The sequence below is a fragment of the Homo sapiens genome, chromosome 11, assembly GCF_000001405.40.
Source record: "Homo sapiens chromosome 11, GRCh38.p14 Primary Assembly".
Lineage (NCBI taxonomy): Eukaryota > Metazoa > Chordata > Mammalia > Primates > Hominidae > Homo > Homo sapiens.
In genome coordinates, this window is record NC_000011.10 from 82,471,880 (window position 1) to 82,482,281 (window position 10,402).

Consider the following 10,402-nt stretch of genomic DNA (forward strand, 5'->3'; position numbering starts at 1 on the left):
GTTCCTGTTTCTATGACAGAATACCACAGATTGAGTAATTTACATAAGACAATATTTCTCACAGTTCTGGAGACTGAAAGTTCAAGATCAAGGTGCCAGCAGGTTTGGTGTTTGGTGAGGACCCCGTCTTCTAGGACCCAAGAAGGTGCCTTGTTGTTGTGTCCCCTAGAGGGAACAAACACTGTGTCCTCACATGATGGAAGGGCAAAAATGTCCCATCTAATCCCCCCTGGCCCTTTTATAAGGTCATGAATCCCATTCATGAGGGTAGAGCCCTTATGACCTAATCCTTACCAGAAAGCCACATCTCAATACTGTTGCTTCGGGGATTCCGTTTCTACATTAATTTTGGAGGGGATACAAACATTCAAGCCACAGCAGTGAGTATCTTGTATTGTTTAAAACAAAAGCTTTCAATATTTCACCACTTAGCATGTTTTCTATAAGCTTTTTTAAAGGTACCCCTTGTTAGATTTAAGGAAGTTCCCTCTTTTTTTTTTTTTTTTTTTTTTTTTGAGACAGAGTCTCGCTCTGTCGCCCAGGCCTTAGTGCAGCGGCGCGATGTCGGCTCACTGCATGCTCCGCCTCCCGGGTTCACGCCATTCTCCTGCCTCAGCCTCCCGAGTAGCTGGGACTACAAGCGCCCGCCACTATGCCCGGCTAATTTTTTGTATTTTTAATGGAGACGGGGTTTCACCGTGTTAGCCAGGATGGTCTCGATCTCCTGACCTAGTGATCTGCCCGCCTCGGCCTCCCAAAGTGCTGGGATTACAGGCGTGAGCCACTGCGCCCGGCCGGAAGTTCTCTCTATTAATACCTAATAATTCTCTTTTTAAATATAACTTCCTGTTGAATCTATTTAAACTTTTTCTCCATCTTCTGAGATGATCACACAAACTTCATGTTTTATTTTGTTAATGGGATTAATTGCATAGATTTTTTAACTTTCTATTTTGAATAATTATAGATTCTAATTATAGATTCACAGAAGGTTGCAAGGAAATACCCAGAGATGTCCTGTATATGCTTGATCCAGGCTTCCCCAATGTTAACAACTTATACAAATCTAGTACATTTCAAAACCAAGAAATTTACATTACGATAAGCTATAGAGCTTATTCAGATTTCACCAATCTTAGTTGCACTCATTCATGTGTGAACAACTGCAATTTTATCACACAGATATCCTCCTGTAACCACCATCACAATCCTAATACTCAACTAATACTCATCAACACAGGACTCTCTCACATTATCTCTCTGTAGCCCTCCCTATTCCCTCCCCAATACTTAACTCCTAGAAAACATGAATCTATTCTCCATACCCATAATTATTCTATTTCATCAATGTTACATTATTTAAAATCATCCAGTTTGTATCCTTTTGGGATTGAACTTTTTCTATTAGGTGAAATTCCTTGAGGTTGATCCAAGTTGTTGCATGTATTAATATCAAGTTTGTTCCTTTTTAATTGCTGAGTAGAGTTTCATGGCATGGATACATCACAATTTGTTTAACCATTCACCCATTACAGGACTTTTGGAGTGTTTCCAATTTGAAGCTATTAAGAATAATGTTTCTGTGAAGACTAATTTATAATTTCTCATGTGAAAAGTAAGTCTTCATTTCTCCAAGATAAATGCCCAAATACAACTGCTAGGTCATTTTATAAGTCCATTTTTAGTTTTGAAATGAACTGCCAAACTAGTTTTCAGATGGGTGGCACCATTTTCATTCCTACCAGGGATGCATAAGTGATCCAGTTTCTCACATTTTTGCCAGAATTTGGTATTATCACTATTTTTTTTTCAGTAATACTAGTAGGTGGATATCACATTGTAATCTTAATTTGCATTTCTCTAATGGCTAATAATATTGGATATTTTTCTCATGTTTATCATCTATACATCATTTCAGTGAAATCTCCGTACGTTTTTTGCACATAACTTGATGTTTAATGTTGAGTTTTGAGAGTTCTTTTTGTATTCTAGATTCAAGGCTTTTTTTCAGATATGTAATTTGCAAATATTTCTTCGACTCTATAATTTGTTTTTTCATTGTTTTAACAATCAATCTATTTTTCCTCTTATAGATTGTGCTTTTGATGTTAATCTAAGAACCCTTTACCTACTTCTAGTTCCTGAAAATTTTTTCCCATGGTCTTTTCTAATAGTTTTATAGGTTTAAATTTTATATTTAAGTCTATAATTCATTTTTAGTTAATTTCTGTATAATGCGTGAGGTTCAGTTTAAGTTTCTCTTTTTCTTTTCCTTTTTTTTTTTTTTTTGTCGTTTTTGTTTTTGCAGGGGAGGGGGTTGGGGAGTGGCTGTTAGATGCCCCATTACCACAGCATCGTATGTTGAAAGTCTTATCCTTTCTCCATTGAATTGTGCGTGTTCATTTGTCAAAAACTAATTGAGGACATTTGTATAGATCTATCTTTGAGTTTTCTATTGTGTCCCATTGATCAATGTGTTTATTTCTGTGATGGTACCACAATGTCTTAATTACTAAAACTATATAGCAAGCCTTATTATTAGGCAAAGTAATTCTTCCCACTTTATTCTTCTTTTCAAAATTGTTTGAGCTATTCTAGGGCCTTTCCATTTACACATAAATTTTAGAATAAGCTGTCTATGTCTACAAAAGCACTTGAATTTCTGACAATGTATATTAAAACTAAATATCAATTTAAGAAAAATTGTCATATATACTATGTTGAGCCTTTCAATTCATGATTCCCAAATATGTAGGTAATTTTTTTATTTCTTTTATCAGTGTTTCATAATTTTTATCAGATTTTGATCATGTTTTATATGAGTTATAACTAAATATTTCATTTTTTAGGGTAATTGTAAATGCTATTTTTTTGGATTCCACTTGTTTGTTGTCAGTATGTAGAAATGCAATTGATTTTTATGTATTGGTCTTGTATCCTGTAGTTTTACTGAATTCACTTTCTTGTTACAGGATTTTGTGTGTATGTGTATATTCCTTGAAGTTTTGTACCTTCACAAGCATTAGTGTCTGAAAATAAGGACAGTCATATTTTTTCTTTCCAGTTATTTAATTTTTTTTTACCACATTGCAGTGGCTAGACCTTCCAGCACTGTTAAATATGTGTATAGTGAGAGAGCAACATCTTTGCCTTATTCTTGAGTTTAAGAAGAAAGCATTCAGTTTTTGTCATGTTTAAGTATGACGTCAGCTCTAGGTAGGTGTCTTCACCAGATTAAATAAGTTCCTCTTTAATTCTAGTGTACCGAGAGTTTTTATCTTGAAAGGATGTTATATTTTGTCAAATGCTTTTTCTGTGTCAATTGATATATTCATATAATTATTTTGTTTATTTAGTCTGTTGATAAAGTAGACACGTAGATTTTTGAATATTCAAATAAGTTTGCACTTATAAAGTAAGTTCAACTTAATTATGATACATTATCTTTTTAATATATTGCATAATTCAGTTCCTTACACTTTTTTACAGTTTGGGATTCTATGTCTTCTCTCTCTTAACTGTCCTGTAGGCTTTCATGTCAACATTATATTGCCTTTATAAACTGAGCTTCAGTGTCATTCTTCTTTTTCTATCTTCTGTGGAAAAAAAAGTTCAAACTGTTATTTATTCTTAAATATATTATATATTTTATAGATGAAGGTATCTTCTGTCCAGGATAGTTTTTAAATTATGGATTCAATGTCTTCAGTAATTCTAAGATGATTGAGATTTTCTATTTCTTTTTGTGTCAAAATTTGTAAGATGTATTTTTTTAGGGCTTTCTCCATTTTATATAAATTTATTAGCATAAAAATTTGTATTTTGAAAGTCTGTTCAAATGGAAATTATACTCTCATTCCTGGTATTGTTGTGTGTTTTGTTCTTTCATTTTTGTTTGTTTGTTTTTGAGACAGAGTCTCACTCTGTCACGAGGCTGGAGTGCAGTGGTGCAATCTCTGCTCACTGCAACATCTGCCTCCTGGGTTCAAGCGATTCTCCTGCCTCAGCCTCCCGAGTAATTGGGACTATAGGCATCTGCCACCACGCCCGACTAATTGTTGTATTATTAGTAGAGACAGGGTTTCACCATGTTGTTCAGGATGGTCTCAATCTCTTGACTTCATGATCCGCCCGCCTCAGCCTCCCAAAGTGCTGGGATTACAGGGGTGAGCCACCCTGCCCAGCCTGCTCTTTTATTCTTATCAGTATCACCAGCAGCTTGTCAATTTTATTGGTCTTATTAAAGGATCAATTTTAGATTCATTGATCTCTCATATGTTCTTTATCTTTTTCTTTAATTTTTGCTCATCCCTTTCTAATTTATCACACTCTGCTTTTGAAGTTTAATTTGTTATCATTTTTCTACATTTTATTTTATTTTTTATTTTTGTAGGTACATAAGTGTGTATATCTATGAGGTGCATCAGACTCCCCAATACAAGCATGCAATGCATAATAATCACATAGACATAGAATTTAATGGCAATGACAAAGTGACTATAGTCATTTTTCTACTTTTTGAAATGAATACCTATTTTACTGATTTTTGTCTTTTTCTTTGTGTAATAGATTATTTAAGCTATAAATTTCACTCTAGTCATAGTATTATTGGCATCCCATAATTATTTTTAAAAAGCTTGTGTTGAATTATTGCATACCTATGGAGAACTGCACAAGCACACTTGTCAGTTCTATTTATTTACCAGAGTACATGCAGTCACATTGCCGCTTCTCCCCAGCAGATTTCTAAAATAATAGTTTACTTTCATGTACATCTGGAATTGGTTAAATAAAACCATATCAATTATTTTGTGTCTAAATTCTTTAACACCACGTTAAGAATATAAAATTCATCTATATAGTGGTATGTAGCAGTAGTTTGTTTATTCTCATTGCTGTACAGTACATTATTAGGGAAATATACTACAATTTATTTTTTCATTTTGCTGTTGATGAATACTACTTATTCTCAAGTTTTTGCTATTTAAAAAAAAAACTATTATAAACACTCCTGGTTAGGTCTTTTGATGCCTACGTGTACAAATTTTTGTTGGGTATATTTGCAAAAAATGTATTTTTTCCTATTTTCTGAAAATAGATATTAACGTCATAAATTTTCAGTCTTCTTTTCAATTGCATGCATTTAAAGCCATTAATTTCCCTAGTTCATGGCTTCACCTGAAGTGTACAGGTTTTAAGATATCATATTTTATTATTATTCAGTTCAAAATATTTTCTTCTTTATCTTATAAATTATTCTTTGACCATGAGTTGTTTAGAAAAAGAGGACTTGATTTGTACTATATATAGTTATTAATATTTTCTAGATATTTTTCTATTATTGATTTCTAGATTTTTTCTATTATAGTGGACAAAAATTATGCTCTATGTAATTTCAATCTTTTAAAATGTTAAAAAATATTTTACTATTCTAAAATTAATATGGAACTGTGAAAGAAAAATAAATCTTGGGGCCCCCAAAATCACTAAGCTAAAGGGAAAAGTCAAGCTGGGAACTGCTTAGAGCAAACCTGCCTCCCATTCTATTCAGAGTCATCCCTCTGCTCAATGAGATAAATGCATATTGGATTGCCTCCTTTGGAAAGGCTAATCAGAAACTCAAAATAATGTAAACTTTGGCTCTCACATACCTGTGACCTGGAAGGCCCTCCCTGCTTCAAGTTTTCCCGCCTTTCCAGATGGAACCAATGTACATCTGGATATATTGATTGATATCTCATGCCTCTCTAAAACATATAAAACCAAAAAAGAGCTTGTATAGCCAAGGCATCATGCTACCCGACTTCAAACTATAGCACTACAGTAACCAAAACAGCATGATACTGGTACAAAGACAGACAAATAAACCAATGGAACAGAACAGAAAACACTGAAACAAGACTGCACATCTACAACTATCTGATCTTTGACAAAACTGACATAAGCAATGGGGAAAGGATTCCCAATTCAAGAAATGGTGCTGGAATAACTGGTAAGCGATATGCAGAAGATTGAAACTGGACTCTTCTTTACATCATATGCAAAAATTAACTCAAGATGGATTAAAGACTTAAATGTAATATCCAAAACTATAAAAACTATAAAAAGACAACCTAAGCAATGCCACTCAAGACCTAGGCACCGGCAAATATTTCATGACAAAGATGCCAAAAGCAATTGCAACAAAAACGAATATTGACAAATGGGATCTAATTAAACTAAAGAGCTTCTGCACAGCAAAAGAAACTATCAACGGAGTAAACGATTTACATAATGGGAGGAACATTTTGCAAACTATGCATCTAAAAAAGGTCTCATATCCAGCATCTATAAGGAATTTAAACAAATGTACAAGAAAAAGACAACCCCATAAGAAAGCGGGAAAAGGACATAAATAGACACTTTTCAAAAGAAGACATACATGCAACCAGCAATCATATGAAAAAATGCTCAGCATCACTGATCATTAGAGAAATGTAACTCAAAACCACAATGAGACACCTTCTCACACCAGTCAGAATGGCTATTACTAAAAGGCCAAAAAATAACAGATGCTGGTGAAGTTTTGGAGAAAAAGGAACACCTATACACTGTTGATGGGAGTGTAAATTAGTTCAGCCATTGTGGAAGACAGTTTGGCAATTCCTAAAAGACCTGAAGACAGAAATACCATTCAACCCAGCAATCCCATTGCTGGATATATACCCCAAAGGAATATAAATCATTCTATTATAAAGACACATGCACACATATGTTTATTGCAGCACTGTTCAAAATAGCAAAGACAGAGGATCAACCCAAATGCCCATCAATGATAGACTGGAAAAAGAAAATGTGGTACGTATACACCATGGCATACTATGCAGCCATAAAACAGAAGGAGATCATGTCTTTTGCAGAGACATGGATGGAGCTGGAGGCCATTATCCTTAGCAAACTAACACAGGAACAGAAAACCAAATACCACATGTTCTCACTTATAAATGGGAGCAAACTGATGAGAACATGTGGAAACATAGAGGGAAACAACACACACTGAGGCCTTTTGGAGAATGGAGGGTGGGAGGAGGGAGAAGATCAGGGAAGATAACTAATGGGTATTAGGTTTAATACTTGGGTGATGAAATAATCTGTATAATAAACCCCCTGGATGCAAGTTTACCTATGTAACAAACCTGCACTTGTACCCCTAAACTTAAAATAAAAGTTAAAAAAAAGAGAAAAAAATGTTTTACAACACAAGGCAAAGTCAATTTTGGTAAAGCTCTATGGGTACTTGAAAAATACACACGCATTCTTCAGTGTGCTATATAAGTCCACTAGGCCACTTTTGTTAAGGTGTTCAAATAATATCTATCTTTAATGATTTTTGCCTATCTGCTCTGTCAATTGCAGAGAAAATAATTTGAAAATCTTCCCATATGATTATGAATTTATTTGTTTTTCCTTTTAGTTTTGTTAAATTTTTCTTTATATATTCTAGGATTATTTTGTTGGGTGCATACAAATTTAGAATTGTTATATTGTCATCATAAATTGAACCTTTTCTAATTGAGAAAAGCATTCCCAGTTATGTTATAATTTCTTAAAGTCTTTGATATTGATATGGCTACGAAAACACTCTCACTTAGTGTCTGCATAATGCACGCTTTTTCATCATTTTACTTCTAAACTTTTTGCCACCTTGTATTTCTTACAAGATTTCTAAAATTCAATACGTTAAGTGTATTTTAGTTGAGTCTAAAAATATCAATCTTTTGATAAGAACACTTAGACCATTTACATTGAAAGTAATTATTGATATATGCAGGTCTAAGCTTACAGTGTTACTCAGTGATTTGTATTTTTCTGGCTAATTCCATGTTCCTATTGGTCTGTTTTTATTTATCCTGTCAGATTACTAATTTTATTATTTCTTCCCCTTCACATGTTTGCAATGGTCAATAATTTTAGTGTTTACATAAATTATAAATTCTTAATTTACGAAGTGCAATGCTAATCAGTGCATTATCTTTTTAAATTTCTTATTAATATATAATATTTGTACATATTTATAGGATATATGTCATATCTTGTTACAAACATAGAATGATGATCATGATCAAGTCAGTGTATTTATTTATTTATTTATTTTTATTCTTTTATTTATTTTTCTTTTTTTTTTTTTTTTAGATGGAATCTCGCTCTGTCGCCCAGGCTGGAGTGCAGTGGCATGATCTCGGCTCGCTGCAACCTCCGCCTCCTGGGTTCAAGCAATTCTACTGTCTCATCATCCTGAGTAGCTGGGACTACAGGCTCATGTTGCCATACCTGGCTAACTGCTGTATTTTTAGTAGAGACGGGGTGTCATCATATTGGTCAGGCTTGTCTCCAACTCCTGACCTCAGGTGATCCACCCACTTCAGCCTCCCAAAGTGCTGGGATTACAGGTGTGAGCCACTGTGCCTGTCCTCAAGTCAGTGTATTTAGAATATGCATCACCTCAAGTATATATCATTTCTCTGTGAATGCATTATCTTTAAACTGGAAGTTTGTGAATAAATCATTCTAATGACTTTTACTGAATCCTTGGTTATAGTTTTGAATTGATTAACTACATGTTTTCCTATGTTGCTTTGTAATAATTTAAACTGAAAAAGCAAAAAATAAATTATTTAATGTGTCAGGCATCAGACCATGAATTTTCACATATATTGAATTATTTAAAAGCTTCCAGCACTATGTATTATATGTCCTGATATTCTGATTTTGGAGATGAGGAAACTAAAACAAAAAGAAGCTCTTATGTATTAGAGTGCTGGAATTTTGGTTGCTGTTTTCCAAGGCCCAGCTTGGTTTTACTTTTACTGCTGTATAGTTACTGCACAAAGAAAGGGCAGCGTGACCTACAAGGACACAAAAAACTGTTTGGCTCTCTAACTGTCGGGACCTTTCTAGAAAAAACAAACTCCCCATGAAGAAATGGTCCCAAATGATAGGCTGAACTATCTGGTTATCAGTCCTCCGCACTGTCCAACTGTTAATTTGGCACTGTCTTGATAGGTCTTCAATATCCTTAAGCAGATTTATGTTTACATTTTATCTAGATCTTCTAGGTATCTTCAGTTGTAGTATTGGCCCAAATTACTCATTCTACCATTACTGGGAGAAGTCATAATCAACTTTTTTCACCCAATATTTGATCTCAAATATAGTCTCATATCAACAACCCACAGTTTATGTTTTTTTCCTTATTCTAAAAAGAAATGGGATACATGGGAAGAACGTGCAGGTTTTTTACATAGGTATAAATCTGCCTTGCTGGTTTGCTGCACCTATTGACCCATCCTCTAAGTTCCCTCCCCTCAACTCCCAACCCCCAACAGGCCCTGGTGTGTGCTGTTCCCCTCTCTGTATCCATGTGTTCTCAATGCTCAACTCCCACTTATGAGTGAGAACATGCAGTGTTTGGTTTTCTGTTCCTGTGTTAGTTTGCTGAGGATGATGTCTTCCAGCTTCATCCATGTCCCTGCAAAGGACATGGTCTCATTCCTTTTTAGGGCTGCATAGTATTCCATGGTGTATATGTACCACATTTTCTTTATCCAGTCTATCATTGATGGTCATTCGGGTTGGTTCCATTGTAAATAGTGCTGCAATAAACATATGTGTGCATGTGTCTTTATAGTAGAATGAGTTGTAATCCTTTGAGTATATACCCAGTAATGGGTTTGCTGGGTCAAATGGTATTTCTGGTTCTAGATCATTGAGGAATCACCATACTGTCTTCCACAATGATTGAACTAATTTACATGCCCACCAACAGTGTAAAGGCGTTCCTATTTCTCTACAGCCTCTCCAGCATATATTGTTTCCTGACATGTTAATAATCACCATTATGACTGGTGTGAGATGGTATCTCACTGTGGTTTTGATTTGCGTTTCTCTGATGATCAGTGATATTGAGCTTTTTTTCATATGTTTGTTGACCGCATAAATGTCTTATTTTGAGAAGTGGCCATTCATATGCTTTGCCCACTTTTTAATGAGGTTGTTTTATTCTTGTAAATATATTCAAGTTCCTTGTAGATTCTAGATATTAGACCTTTGTCAGATGGATAGATTGCAAAAATTTTCTTCCATTCTGTAGATTATCTGTTCACTCTGATGATAGTTTCTTTTGTTGTGCAGAAGCTCTTTAGTTTAATTAGATCCCATTTGTCAAATTTGGCTTCTTTTTTGCCATTGCTTTTGCTGTTTTAGTCATCAAGTCTTTGCCAGTGTCTGTGTCCTGAATGGTATTGCCTACGTTTTCTTCTAGGATTTTTATGGTTTGGGGTTTTACATTTAAGTCTTTAATTCATCTTGAGTTAATTTTTGTATAAGGTGTATAAGGTGTGAAGGGGTCCAGTTTCAGTTTTCT

The 10,402-nt window shown here is 34.3% G+C and overlaps 1 long non-coding RNA gene across 1 annotated transcript; it reads left to right on the plus strand.

Moving 5' to 3' along the window:
* The first annotated feature begins 300 nt into the window (after positions 1-300).
* LOC105369410 (uncharacterized) lies at positions 301-8,208 on the plus strand. Its single transcript, XR_950358.1, has 3 exons — positions 301-380; positions 1,536-1,615; positions 8,173-8,208. It is a non-coding gene; the product is annotated as an uncharacterized LOC105369410 (long non-coding RNA).
* The last annotated feature ends 2,194 nt before the right edge of the window (positions 8,209-10,402 follow it).